This window comes from Homo sapiens, chromosome 13 (genome assembly GCF_000001405.40).
Source record: "Homo sapiens chromosome 13, GRCh38.p14 Primary Assembly".
NCBI classification, from domain to species: Eukaryota; Metazoa; Chordata; class Mammalia; order Primates; family Hominidae; genus Homo; species Homo sapiens.
In genome coordinates this window covers 20,436,886-20,458,267 of record NC_000013.11, presented here as the reverse complement: position 1 = coordinate 20,458,267, position 21,382 = coordinate 20,436,886, and the positions used below count along the sequence as shown (strand labels likewise).

The 21,382-nt window shown below is 39.8% G+C and overlaps 1 protein-coding gene across 3 annotated transcripts in view; it reads left to right on the top strand.

The window, feature by feature from the left end:
- CRYL1 (crystallin lambda 1) overlaps nucleotides 1-21,382 on the top strand; it is a 122,189-nt gene that overhangs the window by 67,590 nt on the left and 33,217 nt on the right. For 2 of the 3 annotated variants that reach the window (NM_015974.3, XM_005266416.6), the window contains exon 4: nucleotides 18,514-18,675. The exons of the other annotated variant lie outside the window; for it this stretch is intronic. In NM_015974.3, the coding sequence (NP_057058.2) occupies nucleotides 18,514-18,675 (162 nt within the window). The remainder of the gene's footprint in view (nucleotides 1-18,513; nucleotides 18,676-21,382) is intronic. 3 annotated transcript variants of the gene reach the window in all.

Here is a 21,382-nt window from a genome sequence, read left to right as displayed (position 1 = left end):
GGTTTTGTTAGCACATTTATTTTTAAACGTCTGGGAACATATTTAATGAATTGTCTATGATTGTGCTATATTGTATCTTATCTAAGATGCTACTGATTGTAAGACATCTTCCAATTTCAGAAACATTGAGAAAAAATGTGCAAATTAGAATAGATGACATACAGTATTATCTAACCCTTGACCTATTTGGTGATGTGGCTTTCTTCCTGTGGTTGGCTGGTAAATGAATAGAACCAATTTTTTTGATAACTCTGTGCAAAGACCTTTAGAACTGGTTGAATCACTTTCCCTAACGTTGAAAACCTGGCTTTCGAGGCTCTGCCGGGGTCACCTTTTCCTTCCCCCACTGAGTACCTGGATAGACTGCACAGATGACTTCTCTGTGCTTCCGTTTCACCCTCTGTGAAATGAAGATAATAACCGTGGCCACAATCATCTTGTGAGTGAGTGAAAGTTAAACGAGCCCATGTCAGCACTTGGAGCAGGGCCTGGTGCAGAACAAGCCCAGCAAAGTGGGCCACAGCTTTTGGTCCTTTGAGGTTGGTGTGTTGTTCCCATTTCATGGATTAGGGAGCTGAATGACCAGGTTTATATGTTTAGTAAGTGGTAGATCCAGATTTGTCTTATGACACCGAAGCTTTGCTATTGTCGTATTGTTTTTCTGAGATAAAAGTAAACACTTCTCATGAAGTACCACAGGCTTGGTGATATGTTTTACGTAATTTTTTCTGGAATCGAATGAGTACTGTATTTCATCTGACCTCATTTCCACATCAGTTATTGATTCTTAAAGGTTTAGAATGAACATTCAGGATAATCTTGAAGTCTCATTAATTATTAGGGTGTGGCCAGGATTATTTTTAGCCAGTGAGTTTGGTGAGTACACCTGTTTCCTGTATTGGTGGAGGTCATGCCAGGAGACAGAAACCACACCATTAATTGGAACAGGGCAAATTTAATATGAAAAATTATTAACTGGTAATAAGGGATTAACTTCTAACTTTAGTGTTCTAAACAGAACACTAAAGAACACCCTAAGGCTGAGAGAGAATACCAAGGAAAGATGGGACTTGGAGGGGTCACAGCCCAGGGCCGAGGCTGTGGTCCAGTGGATGGAGGATGACTTCCTGTTCTCTAGGCTGCCCTGGGCCAGAGCTGGACCACAGAGGCTGGGCTGAGGTGGGTAAGCTGGGACTCTCAAGCTGGGACTGGAAGCTGGAATCCTTGAGCTGGGCTGCCAGTGCACTCATATCCTGCTGGCAGTCTGCACTGGAAGAGCCCAGGAAGAGAGGAAGGGAAGCCCCTTCATCCCACCAGACTCCTACTGTCACAAAGCAGGGCAAAGAAGCGTGGGTGTGCAGCTGAGAGGCAAAGTACTGATGACTGGTGCTGGTCCTTCATCTGACTTCCCTCTGCTGTTCAGAGTTTCTTCCTCCATATCCACTCTCTCCCAGAGTTTCCCTGTGCTGGGTCACCCAGGAAGGTGCAGAAAGGCCATGAAGAGTGGGGGGTGGGCAGGTCGTGTAACAGGAGCATAGCTGGCTAGGAAGAGAAGGAAGAGCTGGGGTTGCTAAGAAGGGCATTCTGGGGTGTGTGTGTGTGTGTGTGTGTTTTAAGAATCGTGGTCTTTGTGTGTGTGTGTGTGTGTGTGTGTGTGTGTGTTTTAAGAATCGTGGTCTTGCCCAGGCCTGAGTACAGATCATAGCTCACTGCAGCCTGGAACTCCTGGGCTCAAGCAATCCTCCTGCCTCGCCTCTCTTCTTTTCTTTTCTTTTTTTTTTTTTTTTTGTTTTGAGACGGAGTCTCACTCTGTCACCCAGGATGGAGTGCAGTGGTGGAATCTTGGCTCACTGCAGCCTCCACCTCCCAGGTTCAAGTGAGATTCTGGTGCCTCAGCCTCTTGAGTAGCTGGGATTACAGGCTTGTGCCACAACCCCAGCTAATTTTTGTATTTCTAGTAGAGACAGGGTTTTGTCATGTTGCCCAGGCTTGTCTCAAACTCCTGACTTCAGGTGATACGCCCGCCTCGGCCTCTCAAAGTTCTGGGATTACAGGTGTGAGCCACTGCATCCGGTCATTGTATTATTTCTTAAAATTTTTTGCCTAACCCAAGGCCTCACAGATTTTCTATTTTAGAACATTTATAGTTTAAAATTGTACATGTATGGCTATGATCCACCTGAATTAATTTCATGGAAAATATAAGGTATATACTAAGTTACATTTCTTTGCATGTGAAAACCCAGTTGTCCAGCACCATTTGTTGAACCCTATCTTTTCCCCATTGACTTATCTTTGTATCTTTCTAAGAAATCAGCTGCTTAGATTTGTATGGATCTATCGCTGGGCTCTCTTTATATAATATTGATCCATGTGTCAGTGTAACAGTATGTGCCCATATTACTTTCTCTTAATTACTATAGCTTTATATTAAGCCTTGAAATTAGATACTATGTCATCCAACTACTTTTGCAAAATGGTTTTGGCTATTCTGACTCCTTTGCCTTCCATATCTTAGAATCAGTTTGTTGATATCTACAAAATAAACTTCTGGGATTTCTATTGGGGTTTCAGTGAATCAGTACATCAAGTTCAGGAGAACTGATGTGTTAACAGTATTGAGTCTTCCAATTCATGATTATGGTATAGCTTGAGTTTTCCAATTCATGATTATGGTATAGCTTGAGTTTTCCAATTCATGATTATGGTATAGCTTGAGTTTTCCAATTCATGATTATGATGTAGCTTGAGTTTTCTAATTCATGATTATGGTGTAGCTTGAGTTTTCCAATTCATGATTATGGTATAGCTTGAGTTTTCCAATTCATGATTATGATGTAGCTTGAGTTTTCCAATTCATGATTATGGTATAACTTGAGTTTTCCAATTCATGATTATGGTGTAGCTTGAGTTTTCCAATTCATGATTATGATGTAGCTTGAGTTTTCCAATTCATGATTATGGTGTAGCTCTCCACTTTATGTAGGCCTCCTTTGACTTATTTCATCAGCATTTCATGGTTTCCTGCATATTTAAGGCATTTTTTTAGATTTATGCCTAAGTAATTCTTGTGTATGTGTGCTATTGTGAATGGTATTTAACATTTTTTTTGATTTTCCATTATTAATTGCTACTGTGTAGAAATACAGTTTTTTTATATTGACCTGTATCCTGCAATCTTGCTGAGCTCACTAGTCCTTGGACTTCTTCATAGATTCTTTGGGATTTTCTATGTAGGCATTTATGTCTTATGTGAATAGAGACAGTTTCATTTTCAATCTATATGCTTTTTATATCTTTCTCTTGCCTTATTGCACTGGCTAGGACATCAATATGATGTGGAATAAAATTCTATTCCGGAATAGAATCTGTCCAGCCTGGGCGACAGAGTGAGACAGCTTGCCTTATTCCCAATGTTAAGGAGGAAAGCCTTGAATTTTTCACCATTAAGTGTGATGTTAGCATAGGAATAATAGCTACCTTTCATCATGTTAAAGGGATTCCCATCTATTCCTAGATTGCTGAGAGTTTTAAAAAATATCATGAATGGGTCGGGTGCGGTGGCTCACGCCTGTAATCCCAGCACTTTGGGAGGCCGAGGCGGGTGGATCATGAGGTCAGGAGATGGAGGCCATCCTGGCGAACACGGTGAAACCCCGTCTCTACTAAAAATACGAAAAAAATTAGCCGGGTGTGGTGGCAGGCGCGTGTAGTCCCAGCTACTCAGGAGGCTGAGGCAGAAGAATGGCGTGAACTTCAGAGGCGGAGCTTGCAGTGAGCCGAGATCGCACCACTGCACTCCAGCCTGGGCGACAAGAGCAAGACTCCATCTCAAAAAAAAAAAAAAACAAACACGAATGGGGGTTGAATTTTGTGAACTGATTTTTTTTTTTACATCTATTGGGATGATCACATAATTGTTCTTTTTAAATCTGTTTATATCATGAATGACATTGATTGATTTTAAAAAGTTGAACCAGTCTTGCATTCCTGGGATAAACTCCAGTTGGTCATAACGCACTATCCTTTTTTGTTGAGATTTTTTTTGCATATGTGTTTGGAATAGATTTTTTTTCCCCATGTAATGTCTTTGTCTAATATTTTGATATTACGGTGATTCTGCCTTCATAGAATGAGTTGGGAAATGTTTCTTCTTTATTTTCTGAAAGAGATTGTAAAGATTGGCAGTAGTTCTTTAAATGTTTGGCTGAATGTGGCAAACCCTGGGCCTGGAGTTTTCTGTGTTGATAGATTTTGAACTACAAATTTAATTACTTTCCTATAAATAGACTAATGAGGTTTTCTATTATTTCTTAAGTGAGTTTTGGCAGTTTGTGTCTTTCAAGTAATCAGTCCATTTGTTCTAAGTTGTAGGATTTCTTGGCATAAATAATTATTCATAATATTGCTTTATTATTCTTTTAATGACTATAGGACTGGCAGTGATGTCCCCTCTTTCGTTCTTCATATTGGCAATTTGTGTCTTCTCTCTTTTTATTGGTCAGTCTGCCTTGAAGTTTGTCAGTGTTACTGTTTTTTCCCTAAGAAACCAGATTTGATTTCATTGATTTGTTTCTGTTGTTTTTCTGTTTTCAATTTCATTGATTTCTGCTTTTACTTTTATTGTTTTCTTCTTCCTTTCTTTGTATTTAATTTGCTTTTTTTCAGTTTCTGAAGATAGAGGGTTGGATTAACGATTTGAGATATTCTTCTTTATTAATGTAAATATATAATGCTATACATTTTCCTCTCAGCATTGCTTTAGTTGAATCCAATGATTTAATATATTGTGTTTTCATTTTCAAAATATTCAAATATATTAGAATATTTCAAAATATTCAAATATATTAGAATATTTCAAAATATTCAAAATATTTCAAAATATTCTAATTTCCCATGAGAATTTCACCTTGACTGTAGATTATTTGGAAGTGTCTTGGTTAATTTCCACATATTTGGGGATTTCCTAGATATTCTTTTCTCATAGACTTCCACTTCAATTCAATTATGGCCAGAGAACATACTTTGTTTGATTTCTATTCTTTTAAGTTTTGTTTCATGGCCAGACTATAATCTATCTTGGTAAATATTACATGTGAACTTGGAAAAGTCAGGCATTCTACTCTTGGGTGGAGAGGTCTCTGAATGTCAAGTAGATCAAGTTGGTTGATAATGTTATTCAGCTCTGCTATAATCTTATTGATTTTTAAATCTTGTTCTGAGAAAGAAAGTTATTGAGGTCTCCAGCAGTAATCGTGGATTTGTTTATTTCTCCTTTCAATTCTGTTTTTACATTATGAAATTAGAAAAAACTAATTTTAAAATTCATCTAAATTTAAACATTTTAGAAATTGTATTTAATACCCAAAATATGTTAAATCCAATATAACACTTTTTTAGAGCAGCTTTAGTTCCACAGGAAAATTAAGAAGAAGGGACAGAGATTTCCCATAAAGCCTCTGCCCCTACGCATGTATAGCCTCCCCCATTATCAGCAACTCCCACCAGAATGGCACATTTATTACAGTTGATGAACCTACATTGACACATATTAATCACCCAAAGTCCATAGTTTATATTAGAGTTCACTTTTGGTATTATGCATCCTATAGGTTTTGACAAATGTATATTGACATGTATCCATCAATATAGTATCATACACAGTATTGTCACAGCCCTAAAAATCCTCTGTACTCTGCTTCTTGATCTTCTGCAACCCCAACAACTTCATGTATTTTGTAGCTCTGTTGTTAGGTGCATAAACACATAGAGTTGTTGTATCTTCTTGGAAAATTGACCCGTTTAGTGTATTGTAATGCCCTTCTTTTTCTCTGATAACATTTCTTGTTTCTTAGGTCTACTTTTTGAGATATTAATATAGCAACAGCAGGTTTCTTTAGTTAGTGTTTGCAAGGAATATTTTTCCATTCTTTTACTTTTGACCTATCTAAGTCCATACATTTAAAGTAGATTTTTTTTTCTAGATAGTTTAGAGTTGGGTTGGGTTTTGCTTTTTTTTTTTTTTAATTCGGTCTGATGGTCTGCCTCTTTTTTACTTTTTGTTTAATCCTGTCACCCAGGTAGTAAGCATAGTAGCTAATAGTTTTTCAACTCTCTCCCTCTCCCTTCCTCTTCTAGTAGTCCCTGGTATCTGTGGTTGCCATCTTTATGTCCATGAGTACCCAGTGTTTAGCTCCCACTTATAAGTGAGGACATGTGGTATTTGGTTTTCTGTTCCTGTGTTAATTCTCTTGGGATAGTGGCCTCCAGCTGCAGCCATGTTTCTGTAAATGATGTGATTTTCTTCTTTTTTTTCAACAGCTGCGTAGTCCTCCATGGGCTATATGTACCACATTTTCTTTATCCAGTCCAGTGTTGATGGGTACCTAAGTTGATTCCATGTCTTTGCAATTATGAATAATACTGTGATGAAAGTGCAAGTGCATCTGTCTTTCTGGTAGAACAATTTGTTTTCTTTTGGATACCCAGTAATGGGATTGCTGGGTCAAATTGTAGATCTGTTTTAAGTTCTTTGAGAAATCTCCAGACTGCTTTCCACAGTGGCTGAACTGATTTACTTTCCTACCAACAGTGTATGAGCATTCCCTTTTCTCTGCAGCCTTGCCAGCATCTGTTGTTTTTCAACTTTAGTAATAGCCACTTTGACTGGTGTGAGATGGTATCTCATTGTGGTTTTGATTTGCATTTCTCTGATCATTAGTGATGTGAGCATTTTTTCATGTTTGTTGGCTATTTGTATGTCTTTTGAGAAGTATCTGTTCATGTCTTTTGCTCATTTTTCATGTTTTCTTTTGTTTGTTGCTTGTTCAATTGTTTAAGTTCCTTATAGATTCTGAATATTAGAACTTTGTTGAATGAATAATTTGTGAATATTTTCTCCCAATCCATAGGTTGTCTTTTTACGCTGTTGATAGTTTCTTTTACTATGCAGAAGCTCTTTAGTTTAATTAGGTCCCACTTGTCAGTTTTTGTTTCTGTTGCAATTGCTTTTGAGGACTTAGTCATAAATTCCTTTTTTTAATTATTATTATTTTTAAATTATACTTTAAGTTCTAGGATACATGTGCACAACGTGCAGGTTTGTTACATATGTATACATGTGCCATGTTGGTGTGCTGCACCCATTAACTCGTCGTTTACATTAGGTATATCTCCTAATGCTATCCCTCCCCCCTCCCCCCACCCCTCGACAGGCCCGGTGTGTGATGTTCCCCACCCTGTGTCCAAGTGTTCTCATTGTTCAGTTCTCATCTATGAGTGATAATGTGCAGTGTTTGGTTTTCTGTCCTTGCGATAGTTTGCTGAGAATGATGGTTTCCAGCTTCATCCATGTCCCTACAAAGGACATGAACTCATCCTTTTTTATGGCTGCATAGTATTCCATGGTGTATATGTGCCACATTTTCTTAATCCAGTCTATCCTTGATGGACATTTGGGTTGGTTCCAAGTCTTTGCTATTGTGAATAGTGCCACAATGAACATGTGTGTGCATGTGTCTTGATAGCAGCATGATTTATAATCCTTTGGGTATATATCCAGTAATGGGATGGCTGGGTCAAATGGTATTTCTAGTTCTAGATCCTTGAGGAATCGCCACACTGTCTTCCACAATGGTTGAACTAGTTTACAGTCCCACCAACAGTGTAAAAGTGTTCCTATTTCCCCACATCCTCTCCAGCACCTGTTGTTTCCTGACTTAGTCATAAATTCTTTCCAAAGGCTAATGTTCAGAATGGTGTTTCCTAGTTTTTTTTTCTAGGATTCTCATAGTTTTATGTCTTATATTTAAATCTTTAGTCTATCTTGAGTTAATTTTTGTATATGGTGAAAGGTAGGTGTTTAGTTCCATTCTTCTGCATATGGCTAGTCAGCTATCCCAGCACCATTTATTGAATAAGGAGTCCTTTCTTCACTGCTTATTTTTGTTGACTTTGTTGATGATCCAATCGTTGTAGGGATGAAGCTTTATTTCTGGGTTCTTTATTCTGTTCAGTTGGTCTGTGCATCTGTTTTTGTATCAATATCATGCTGTTTGGTTACTGTAGCCTTATAGTATAATTTGAAGTCAGATAATATGATGCCTTCAGCTTTGTTCTTTTTGCTTAGGCTGGATTTTTGTTCAGGCTCGATTTTGGTTCCATATGAATTTTAGAATAGTTTTTTCAAGTTCTGTAAAAAATGATGTTGATAGTTTGGTAGGGATAGCATTGAATCTGTAGATGTTTTGGGCAGTATGGCCATGTTAACAATATTAATTCTTCCAATCCATAAGCATGGAATACTTTTTCATTTTTTTGTGTTATCTGTGATTTCTTGTGGCAGTGTTTTTTAGTTCTCCTTATAGAGATCTTTCACCTCCTTGGTTAGAAGTATTCCTAGATATTTTAGGTTTTTGGTGGCTATTGTAAATGGGATTGTGTCCTTAATTTGGCTCTCAGCTTGAAGATTATTGGTGTATAAAAATGCTGCTGATTTTTGTACATTGATTTTGTATCTTGAAACTTTATTGAAGTCATTTATCAGTTTCAGGAGCCTTTTGATGGAGTCTTCAGGGTTTTCTAGGTATAGAAGAATATCATCAGTGAATAAATTCGATTACTTCTTTTCCTATTTGGATGCCTTTTTTTTTTCTTCCTGGATTGCTCTGGCTAGAACTTCCAATCTGTCTTCTATTTGATGTGTTTAAATCATTTACATCTAATGTGATTATTCATACAGGTGGCTAAAAATGTAGCAGCTGTTTTCTATTTGTTCCATCTGCTCTTTATTTCTTTTTTCTGCTTTTGTGTTAATGGAACATTTTTATGGTTCTATTTTATCTTCACTATTGATTCATTATTTATACATCTTTTTTAAAACTTTAGTAATAACCATAGGATTTAAAGCATACATCTTTAGTTAATCAGAGGCCACCTTCTAATATTAGACTGCTTCACATTCTTTGTGCCATTGTTGTCCCTTTACTTTTACATGTGCATTTACAATGCATTGCTGCTATTTTTGCTTTGAGTATTTTGGTATGTTTTAGAGCAATTGAAAACAGGAAAACATTTATTTTACCTTCAATTATTTCATTTCTAGTGTGAGTCTCACTCTGTCACCCAAGCTGGAGTGCAGTGGCTCAATCTTGGCTCACTGCAACCTCCACCTCCTGGGTTCAAGTGATTCTCCTGCCTCAGCCTCCTGAGTAGCTGGGATTACAGGAATGTGCCACTATGCCTGGCTAAGTTTTGTATTTTTCATAGAGACAGGGTTTCACCATGTTGGCCAGGCTGGTCTCGAACCCCTGACCTCAGGTGATCTGCCTGCCTTGGCCTCCCAAAGTGGTAGGATTATAGGCATGAGCCACCACGCCCAGTGTATTCTTTATTTCTTTGTGTAGATCCAATTTTCTGTCTGATATCACGTTTTCTTCTACCTGAAGACTTTCTTTTAAAAATTATTGTAGATTGATTAGGTCTGCTGAAAATGAATTCCATAAGTTGTTTCTCTCAGAATAGTTTTAATTTCTGCTCCATTTGTGAAAGACATTTTTGCTGGGTATAGAATTCTAAGTTGATAGTTTTTTTTCTTTCAGCACTTAAAAAATGTCATTGCATTGTCTTCTATCTTGCATTAACTCTAACAAAAGGTCTGTATTAAACCTTACCTCTGCTTTTATGTATATAATGTGACTTTTTCCTCTTACTGCTTTCAATATTTCTCTTTGTCTTCTGTTTTCAGCAATTTGAATATGGTATACCTAGGTACCTAGAAACTTTTTGGAAGGGAGAGGTGTATATTCTGCTTTGTGTTCTCTGACCTTCTTGGATATGGAATTTGGTTACTCTCATTAGTTTTGGAATATTCTTAGCTATCATTTCTTTTAATTTTTCTTCTGTCCTATTCCGTTTCTTTTACTTCTGAGGTCCCAATTACACATATGTTAGATTATTTGATACTTTCACTGGAAGTCTTGGATGCTCTGTTTATTATTCTCAGTCTCCTTGCTCTTTGTTTTTCATTTTGTCTGATTTCCGTTGACTAGCCTTTAAGTTCAAAGATTCTTTCCTCAGCTGTGTTGAGTCTACTGATGAACCAAAGACATTCTTCATCTCTGTTACTTTGTTTTTCAGTTTTAGCATTCTCTTTGATTCTCTGCTGAAATTACCCATACGATGTTGCATGTTGTCTAGAGTTTTCATTAGATATTAATCATAGCTATTTTAAATTTACTGTCAGATTTTTCCAATATCAGAGTCATATAGATCTTTTGAAAGATCACTTTCTCGGGTGTGTGTTGTTTTTCTCCTGCTTTTTTGTATACCTCGTGATTTTTTGTTTTTGAAAGTCAGATACCTGAATAGGAGAGTAGATACTGAGGCAAACAGTTTTTATGTCTGTGAATTGGCAAGCATTTTCTTCTGCTCTGCTTTCATTGTGGGCATTTGAATTAATTTAGTTGGGAATTGAGCAAGGTATAAGGTTTGCAGTTGTTATGGTTATCCTTAGTGCATTAAAGGTTTCAAGTTCCTCTAGTAATGCCTTGTATTTAAGATGAGGACTGGTTGGCCAGAGGGTTTTGTGGGGTTTTTTTTCCTCCTTAGTACTTGCTCCACCTTTAGCTTTCAGTTTTCCCTTTGCACTTCCCTCATAGAGGATCTCTTTCCATGTTCTCATTCTGTCTCTCTCCCAGAAGTATTATTCTGTTACTTTTTACCTAATACTTGTCAGCCTAGGGAGGGGGGGTGGTGGAAGGGCTCTGATTTAGTAGTAGGAGGCACTGTGTCCCTGCAACTTGGGGGTCGGACCTACTCAGTGCTCCTGGCTCTCCCTGGGGTAGGGGCGAGGGGGAGCAGCATCTTTTCCTGCCTCTCCCCCAGGGATAAAGGTTTTTATTTCTGTTCTCTTTCCCCAAATACTATGAGTTTTCAATAATGGGAGTTTGTGTGCTATTGTCTCTAGTCACTTCAGTGAATTAAACTGTATTTGTATCATATATTGAATGAATCAGATGTTGGGTTGCTCTTGATGTCACAAAGAAACTCTGTTGGTCCTGATTATTTCCCTTAGATTTTTCCTGTGGACATTTGAACTTTAAGAAATTTATGATAGTAGTCCTAAGTGGATTGGGAAATCAGTGAGCCTCATCATCTACTGGTAGGATTGCCTGTCAGTTGCCCTGTGCCAGAAGTAATTCTGTTAATCTGTGTGCAGCTCCAAAAGCTGTTGCAGCATGGACTAGAACATTTCAGCTGCTGGTTAAATCTTTCTGGCATATGTATAAACTTAAATAATTGCTAACAAAAAATTCCAACTAGATTATAAAGTGGTTTCACCACAAATGAAGGGCTCTTTTCTTTTTCAGTTCTTAGTAGCCACAATGAAGATTTTGAAGTGTCTCTGAAGCACTATCCCCAAATTAAAGGCTCTAGTCAATGCAAAAATCATCTTGGTAAGTCATTAATAAAAACACACACTCTACCAACAGGCATAATTAGAGCCTCGAGATTAACAAAATTGCAGTCCTTCTTGATTTAAAAAACAAAAAAAATTCTAGAGGTGAGTCACAGGTCTTAAATTAAAAGGGAGATAAGTCCTATTTTAAGAATGGAGAGCCTAGGTGTGAGAATGAGCTGACAGCAGCTTTTGTCACCCTATTGGTCATCAGCTGATTCTCTGGTCTGGCTAGTTCTCCCATTCTGCTCAATGGGGAAGGCTCAATCCCTCAACAAAGAATAATCCCTCTTCATTCAAAAGCATGCAAGGACAGTCAGAGTACCAATCAGTGGGGGCCTTTTCCTTTTTTTACCCAGCTATGTATGTCATTCAAACTAGTCCACTATATAATTTTTAGCCAGGTGCAGTGGCTCATGCCTGTAATCCCAGCACTTTGGGAGACCAAGGCAGGTGGATCACCTGAGGTCAGGAGTTTGAGAACAGCCTGGCCAACATGGCAAAAACCCGTCTCTACTAAAAATACAAAAATTAGCCAGGCATGGTGGCACAGGCCTATAATCCTAGCTACTCGGGAGGTTGAGGCAGGAGAATCATTTGAACCTGGGAGATGGAGGTTGCTGTGAGCCAAGATTGTGCCACTGCACTCCAGCCTGGGCGACAGGGCAGGACTCTGTTACAAAATAAATAAATAAAAAATAAATAATTAAAAAAAATCTACTGAAAACTATTTTGGGTTTTAAAATAAGTAAAGTAGTGCCCATTCTAATCTTGTATACTGTGCTTAGCTTTAAAGCAGCTTAGTGTATAGTTATGTGTGTCTCACCATTGCATTAATTTAAGCGGTATTCTTGGCTAGGTAAAGATCTGTAGGAAGCCAGCTTGAAGACAGAACCAACTGGGCTGGTTAATAATATCCACACATCTGTCCATTGTTAAACCCAACAACCATGCCAGGAAATTCCTTGATTCTCTTATGATAAGCCAGCTAATTTTTATTATTTAGTTGTTGACTTTCCATTTGATTTTTGTCATAGTTTTACTTTATGCTGAAATTGTTTAATATCCTTTTAGTTTCTTAAACATCTTAATTATAGTTATTTCACAATTTATGTCTGATACCACCATTATGTGAATGCCCTAAGGGTCTATTTCTAAAGTCTGTTTTCTCTCTTGGTTTTCATTCAGGTCTTCCCTAATATTGTCTATTTGTTTGAGTATGAGACATTGCTTATGAAAAACTAGGGCTCTGGTTGATATTATCATGCTCCAGAGAAGCTTCACTAGAAGGCAGGTAGGCTAGGAGCATATCTCCCTAACTTAATTGTGGATTGAGATAAATTGAGACCAAGTTTCAGTCCTTGTGAAGACTGGTCTGTTGTTACTATTATTCCTGGTATAAGGGATGCTCAAGGGATATAGCCCTTGAGGGTTCCAACTGGAAGCCTGGGGCAGTTACCAGGCCCTGAATGCCAACATTTCCCCCAGCACTCTGAGTATGTTAAAAACTCTGCTTGTCATTTTAGCCATTTTGTCTGTGCTTTTGAAATAAACAGTTACCTCATAGGTAAAAGTGGTGCCAAGTGTAAGCCTTATATCTCTGGGTTCCCCACTACCTGGATCTTGGAAATAAACCTGAATTTTCAAAAATGAAAATGCTACTGTGAGTTACTGATGTCCTTCACATAAACTTTTTTATGTTCCATTTTTCTTCTTTAAAACTCACTCTTTACTTAAAGGGTCTCCAATTTTATGTTTCGTGCTATTCCCAGCACTTTGTTAAAAATAAAAAAGGATTTGTTACAGGCTCACTCCTGTAATTCTGGCACTTTGGGAAGCTGAGGCGGGTGGATCACTTGAGGTCAGGAGTTCAAGACCAGCCTGGCCAACATGCTGAAACCCCGTCTCTACTAAAAATACAAAAAATTAGCTGAGCATGGTGCTGCGCACCTGTAATCCCAGCTACTCTGGAGGCTGAGTCAGGAGAATCGCTTGAACCTGAGAGGCAGAGGTTGCAGTGAGCCGAGATCGCACCACTGCACTCCAGCCTGGGTGATAGAGCAAGACTCCATCCCCAAAAACATTTGTATTCAAAACTCTCACTTGTTCCTTATGAGAAATACTAGAAATGCAGTAAAACTATATAATTGCAGGATTAAATGGAATATTTTCAGTTGTATTATTTTTTCATGTCAAGCATTTTAACACAATTCTAAAGAAATGATTTCACAAACGGTACAAAAACATCATTGGAATGAGGATGGGACGGACACATAATCAGGACAGCAACCGATGCCTGTGCCACGGTGGCCCCCTCTGGGTTCTCTGCGGTCACCTGGAGAAAGGACTGCTCTTTAAAGCAAACAACAATAATCCTTGTAACTGGAACACCTAAGCCCCAGGAAGTCACATTCTTAAACTCAGTCTACACTGATTTTTACTTTGGAAAGATCTCTCTCGATTGGGTATAATTTCTTCTCAATTATGGCAGAACTGTTTAGGATTGGTAATATGCTTTTATTTAATTAAAAATTAAACCCTTTATTTTGATTTTTAAGGAAAAAACAAGCTCCTGGTTAGAGCATAGTGCAGTTAGTTGCCTGTAATGTTGAAAATAGATGTGCTCTTTCCCCTTTTACTTAACACATTATTTATTCTAGAGCAAAAAGATTCTTTTTTTAAAAATGTAAATAATTATGGTGTCCACCTCCTAAAAAGTGTTGTCACAGCAGTCTATTAATCTGACAGATTTTAAAGATTGTACTCCTGGGAGAAATGGTGAAGAGAAACTGGGGTGTTAATTAGGCAGATTAAAGCCAGAGATGTAACTAGTGCTAACAGAGTTTATAATGTAGAACGCCTCCATCTTCAGCCTGAGAGTGGATTTCCTTTTGCTATGATTGCAGTAGGATTCTAATTCATATTTCCTTTCTTACCATGTCTTTTCCTCTTAAAATTATCTAATAGATCTTCTTTGCATGTAAAGTACTCTAAGTATTGAAGTCTTCTAATTTGTTTTTTCTTTCTGTAAAGCACGTTGAAAGCTGCTTCCAGATATCTTGCACTAGCCAATACAGATTTTCTAGCAACAGGATGCCTATTTAAAATGCCTGGGTTGGCCAGGTGTGGTGGCTTACACCTGTAATCCCAGCACTTTGGGAGGCTGAGGTGGGCAGATCACCTGAGGTCAGGAGTTCGAGACTAGCTTGGCCAACATGATGAAGCCCTGTCTCTACTAAAAATACAAAAATTAGCCGGGTGTGGTGGTGCAGGCCTGTAGTCCCAGCTACTTGGAAGGCTGAGGCAGGAGACTCGCTTGACATAGGAGATGGAAGTTGCAGTGAGCTGAGATCATGCCATTGTACTCCAGCCTGGGCAACAGAGTGAGACTCCATCTCAAAAAATAAAAACAAAAAATAAAAATAATAAAATGCCTGGGTGGATTTAAAAACAACAATAACAAACTTGACAGAATTTTTTTTTCACCATGAAAATGTATGTTTTGGAAAATGTATGTTGCATAAGCAAGTGGCTAAACTTCAGAAGTGAGTACTTACCCAGCACACCCTTCCCCTGGGAGTGGTCCAGTTAGCAGACTTGCTGGGGCTGTGCCAGTTTTCCACATCAGGGCCCTAATGAGTTGAATTAACCACACAGGTAACTTTTACTAACCATAAAACACTGAAGTTTATAAATGATTTACTTTAAAAATACAAGTTAGAGAGCACTAAAAGTAATGCCTGGAATAGCATCATGTCGTTTCTTCCCTTCAGGAAAGGCAGGGAAACACCAGTGTCTAAACTCTGCCTCACCTGTCAGCTGCTGATACTGCCTGAGCCAGTGATCAGTCTAAGGAAGAGGGTGATCCTTCTGACAGAACAGTTGTGAGAACTAGGAAGTTGTATTGTGCTTTACCTCTCCCCAGAGTTTTATTTGTCAAAATCAGGGCATGCCGATGGTGGTTGTGCATGAGAATATTATTTGTCATGAGTTGTGTCTCCCTCCCCTGCCTCAAAACAAACAAAACCCAAACAAACAAAAGTCAGTGCTTTGAAAGATGCTGTCAACCTTTAATTAAGCAAAGTCAAGCTGATTACCTTTAGTAGTGGTAGAATTTTTGCTAGTGCTTCACATTTGGTGCCTGTCTCTAGAAAGGGCCCCTGAAAGACAGAGTTGAGAGTGCATGGGTTGCATCTCTCTGGGTTGGAGAGGGAGTGCAGGTGCCTTCTCAGCTGTCTCACTGACATTCTTCCCTGCCTGTCCTCCCAGTCCCTTTAGGGCAAAGAGAATGACTGCAGCTTCTCTGAGCTTTGTAACCAACTGCAAGTGAGGAAGGTGCTGATAAATTTGTCAGACTCCCTTTTTCAGACCAGGGGTATCTGAATGAATAATAGCAAGGAAATAAACTCAGTTGTGACATGGACAGCATCCTTATAACCCCAGCCCAGCACATCCAACACAATTGGGTCACTCTTAAAAACAGCAACAACTACAGCAACAAAACTTCAAGCAAATGTGCCATTAAAAACTCTTACATAATTGTAACAGATTTGAGTTTCCTCTGGTTCAGGTTTTCTTGCCTCTTTGATAATCAAATGATCTGAAGAAAGGCATAGAATTTCAAGGGAGAATCTGCATGACAGGATTACAATAAGGCTATTCATGGAGACTCTTTTATTAGCTTACACAGGATCTGCATCATTCTTCGTCTCTGGCTTTGCTACAAGGCTCCATTTAAACTTAACCCAACTTGCAGGCTTAACTGATCCAGGAATGACTCAATACAATGAGCCAGCTACTGTAGCTCTTTTTCCCCTTTTGATAAGGGGAGTTAACACAATGGGCTTTACAGTTCTTAAATGACTGATTTTTTTTTTCTGTCTTTGAGATGTGGTGCTCATGCGAACTTTTGTTTCTTTAAAAAGATTCACATGGTTTGATTATATTTTTGAAAAGCATAAACAAATCCAAAATGGACTCCCTACCCTTAGAATAAAACTTCAAAAATCTTGTAGATGATATAGATGCAAAATTCATGTCACACTATTTACACAGCTGATTTCAATATATTAGATATTAACTATTAGTATTATTCAATTAAACTTGAAAACATTTATTTTTGAAGGGTGGTTCTGATATAATTTCTAGCAGTACTTCAGCATTGAATTTCACATTTGCACATTTCTTGTTATCTGCTCGTGTTTATACTGTATTCATGACCTAATATGATGTGTAAATTTAACATTTTAGTGAAATTGGTCAGGTGGTTAGAGACCATGAGATGGCTGCAGTGCTAATATACTTCCCATTTCCCGTCAGGGCACCTTGTTTATCCCTGAGTAGCTGGGATGGAGAGGAAACCCTTGAGGATGCATTTGGTGGCACACTGCACTGAGAGCATTAAGGACCCCCGCTTTGGACACACACCTCAGAATAGTGGTTCCCAAACTTTAGTGGGAACAGGAATCATCAGGGATGCTTGTTAGAACTGCAGATGCCTGGAACCCACCCCCAGAGACTCTGATTCAGCAGGTCCGGGATGGAAGCCCAATAATTTGCATTTTTAACAAGACACGCCGTTGATTCTAATGGGTGGTTATTGCACCACACTGAGAGTCATTCTCCTGAAGTCACTGGGGAACGTTGGGAGGCCCTACCTCCTCCCCTACAGCACCTGTTGCCCCTAGGTGAGCAGAGACCTTGGTTAGGAGTGACCCCTGGTGTGATCCCAGAGGTGCAGATGTCAGGAGGGGAAGGACAGCTCTAGTATTTCCAAAGTGTCAGAGCAGCTCTTGCGTCTTCCACCTGGTGTGCTTCCATCCACACAGCAGGGCGGTGTCCTCTTCATCCTCATGTGGCAGGGAACACCTCGCCTGTGGACCAGCGCTGGATGTTTGAAGGTGTCATCTCACTCTCACTCTAGCTTTGTAATTAGAATCTCAGAGCGGTCGTTATCTGCAGCATTTAATCCAAATTTGCATCTTTATCCCACTCCCCTACCCCGATTAATGTAGTTTTGGATTTTTGGAAATGGAGATCTTTTTCAAAAGGACCTCCAATTAGAAATGGATTCTCAAGAAGCCTTTTGGGAATTATGGATGTAACGTGTTTGTTCATTTCACGAGGATGAGATTTTTCCTTAAAGATCTGTTGATCTGATGGTCAAAGCAGATAGGGAAAATAAATGTTGATGATAGCTACCGATGTTTTTAACAGTTTGCCTGGGGTGCTGTTGTGTGTTTTGTTTGTAGAATCCACCCCCATATCGTTGGCAGACTTTTTTATTATGAGAATTTCCAGGCTATTCAAAATTAGAAAGTACAAGAAACTCCCATATATTCCTCACCCGCTTTCCAACTTTCCAGAGTTATCAAGATTTATCGTATTTTCCAGCAGCCTTTTCTCATCCTTAAATCTTGCTGGTGGTTTTTGTAAGGGAGAACAAGTAAAATCTTTTCTTCACCTACGGAAAGTTTCATGGCTGAGGGCCCTATAACAAAAGACAGATGAACAAGAGAGAAACATACAGATGTATTTATTGTAAGTTTTACATGACACAGCAGCCTTCATAAGAAAGTGTAGACCCCAAGACACAGGGAAACCTCTGTATTTTTATGCTTAGGTTTGATAAAGAATGGACAGTCTTTCAGAGGTATGACAGGACAAAGGGGTACGATCTAGCTGGCATGAAACTGGAGGGAAGTTGGCAAGGCCTGTTTGTTCAGATTCTTCCCTGTGTCTTCAGAGACAAGGAGATTGTTTTTCTCTGGGTGTAGGGAGGGCACCTCTGGAATGAGGGTCTTATGCCCTGCTTCATGGGAAGGGCAGAAAATTCTTTTATGGCTTGCTTTAGGGGAGGAGAGAGCAGAAGGGCAGAGGGACCTCCCTGCTTCCGCTGTTTTCTCAGATGCCAAGTTGCCATATTTTGGGATAACACGTCTTGAACCTCATCATTTTCAAAGTGGTTCATTTGAGGAATGAAACAAACATGAAATGCTTTGCTTGGGGCCTGAGTCGAGTGGTCATGAATAGTCATTTAAACGTGTCCTTTTCAGGAATGTGTTCCAGAAGATCTAGAACTGAAGAAGAAGATTTTTGCTCAGTTAGATTCCATCATTGATGATCGAGTGATCTTAAGCAGTTCCACTTCTTGTCTCATGCCTTCCAAGTTGTTTGCTGGCTTGGTCCATGTGAAGCAATGCATCGTGGCTCATCCTGTGAGTATTTTAAATCCAGAGGATTGATTGTATCTCATCTCATTCTGTGTTTTTTTTTTTTCTTTTTTTTTTTTTTTTGCGGGGGAGGGGGGTCAATAACTTGTGAGTAATCCATTAGTCTTTTAAACGGCTTTATTGAGATATAATTCACTTACACAATTTGCCAGTTCAAATTGTGCAGTTCAGTGGTTCTTATTGTATTCAGAGTTGCACAATACTAGTATTTTAAAAAAGAATTTTATCCAAAATTCCTTGGATTTTTATCTGTGTACCTAATGTGCAACGGAATAGAGTGAGGACTGCTTTGAGGCCTTCACCCCCAAGTAACTGTGTAGCTGAGGAGGCCGACTAATAAATAATTCTACTATCAATATAAAAGTGCTACATCAAAAATGTATACATTGGGTAGGATTGTATAGATACGTCACTTGCACTGTGTAGTTTACTCAACACAATTCAGAGTAGGGTTGGTTTTGTTAAAATGCAGATTCTGGGTCCTGCTCCTGAGATTCTGACTGTAGGTCTGACTTCAAGGACTTTTTCCCCTTGTGGTTTCCCTTCCACTCACTCATTGTAATTAACTATGCAAGCTTGTTTGCCAGGAGTACATTATGAGGTGCCTGGGACAATGAGTTTCAGATTGGCGTGCAAGCACTCAAGGAATCTTTCAGCGATTAATGTATTGAAGTGAGGAAAGGGGAATGAGAGAGGAGATTCAGTGAACGACGTTTGAGCCCCAACTGCGAGCTCAGTGTGACCTTGGAGGACCAGGACTGCCTGTTAGAATGGGAAAGGTGACTTAGCTCAAGCTATGATAAATATAATAGTACAAAATAGTGACCACACCCTTGGCACCACCAGGTTGTCAGAGGTTCGGATCAGGGAGAAGCAACACAGAGGGCCCAGCCTGGCTAGGACCTAGTTGGGCTGATGAAGGGAAGAGAGGGTCTGAGGCTGGGGAAGAGCATAAGCAAAGACCCTGGGCCAAGAACACGCTCGGTGTGCAGAATTGTGGGAGGCCAGCCTGGTGGCATGAGCACACATGCCTTGGAGCCATGGGAGAACACTGGAAGGCTTAGTAACAGTTGGGTCTGGAGAATCGTGAGGGTTACTCTGAAGAGCTGGGACAGACAGCTTGGGTCCAGAGCAGCAGTGTGAGGTTGTGGAAGTGCTGCTTGGGGAGGGTAACATGAAGGTCCTTCCTGGGATGAAGACGGGTCAGAGAGGGGAGCAATGATGTCACAGGACTTGGGCAGTAGTCCAAGCATGAGTGAGCAGGGCCTAGGATCGAGAGCAGGGCAATTCCTCTTTCTGAGCAAGAGCCATTTAGAATGTGGAGGTAACAGACTCCTACCGGATCTGTAGATGCCCACCAGGTTTTATGTGCTAAGAAGAGCAGCAGCTTGGACCACCATTTACATAGCTGCATGGTCCTGGGACATACGATGGAAAGAATGAGGAATGGTTATAAAATAAGGAGGCTGAGATGCATAAAAATAGAAGAGAACCAGTCACATTTGGTTACCACTCAATTACGAGTGAGATTAGCATTACGAGGGACCCTAATTGAAAGCAAGTCCCGAGAAGCCTGTCGTGCCTTTGCTTTGGTGACATATACATGTCCACGGACAGGGCTCCTGGAGACCTCAGCACTTTCTAGGTTGCTCCTTGATTGCTTCAGTGGAAGCTGTCAGCCTCCTAATTTCTAACCCATGTTCTTGCTTCTAAGTTAGTTTGAAACAAAACTAGTCTAAATAAAGTTGCTCAGAAAATACCTCCTGAGTTATTTGACGAGACGTTTACTGCATCTCTTTAATTTTAAATTGCCAGATGGGTGAGAGGACACCTGAGTCACTTTCTTCTCCCTCACACCCAGCCCAGTCCCTTGACCAGCAGGAGTTGGTAACTGTTGAATAATGACACTTCTCTCCCTCCTTCCTACTCTTTTTCCATCCCACTATTGCTCACTTATTTAATGAAACAGCATAAAGTCCAGACCCTATTTTAAAAATTAATCTTCCCCTTTGGGAGGCCGAGGTGGGTGGATTAGGAGGTCAGGAGATCGAAACCATCCTGGCTAACACGGTGAAACCCCGTCTCTACTAAAAATACAAAAAATTAGCCAGGTGAGGTGGCGGTCGCCTGTAGTCCCAGCTACTCGGGAGGCTGAGGCAGGAGAATGGTGTGAACCCAGGAGGTGGAGCTTGCAGTGAGCCGAGATCGCGCCACTGCACTCCAGCCTGGGCGACAGAGCGAGACTCCATCTCAAAAAAAAAAAAAAAATTAATCTTCCTTATTGTTACAAATTATTTTTAAACAAAACCGATGTTAATTAAAGCAAATCAAATAACCCAAGTTAGCCATCTTTGGACCTTTCCCTTTCTTTCCTCTATGTTCCAGCTGCCCACCTCTCTCTCTCTCTCTTTTTTTATTCTTTCTCTGTGGCTCTTTCACCCAGGCTGGAGAGCAGTGGTGCCATCAAAGCTCACTGCAGCCTTGAACTTCTGGCCTCAAGCAAGCCTCCTGTCTCAGCCTCCCCAAAGTGATGGAATTACAAGACAAAGGCACCACACCTGGCCCCACCTCTTGCTCACCCCACGGGACCTCTAGGGGACTGGACAGGCAGTCCCTACAGAATCAAGACCCATTTGTAATCTCTGAGGAACCAGTTTCCGAGAAGCACCCCCAGGCCAGCTAGGAGCCCACC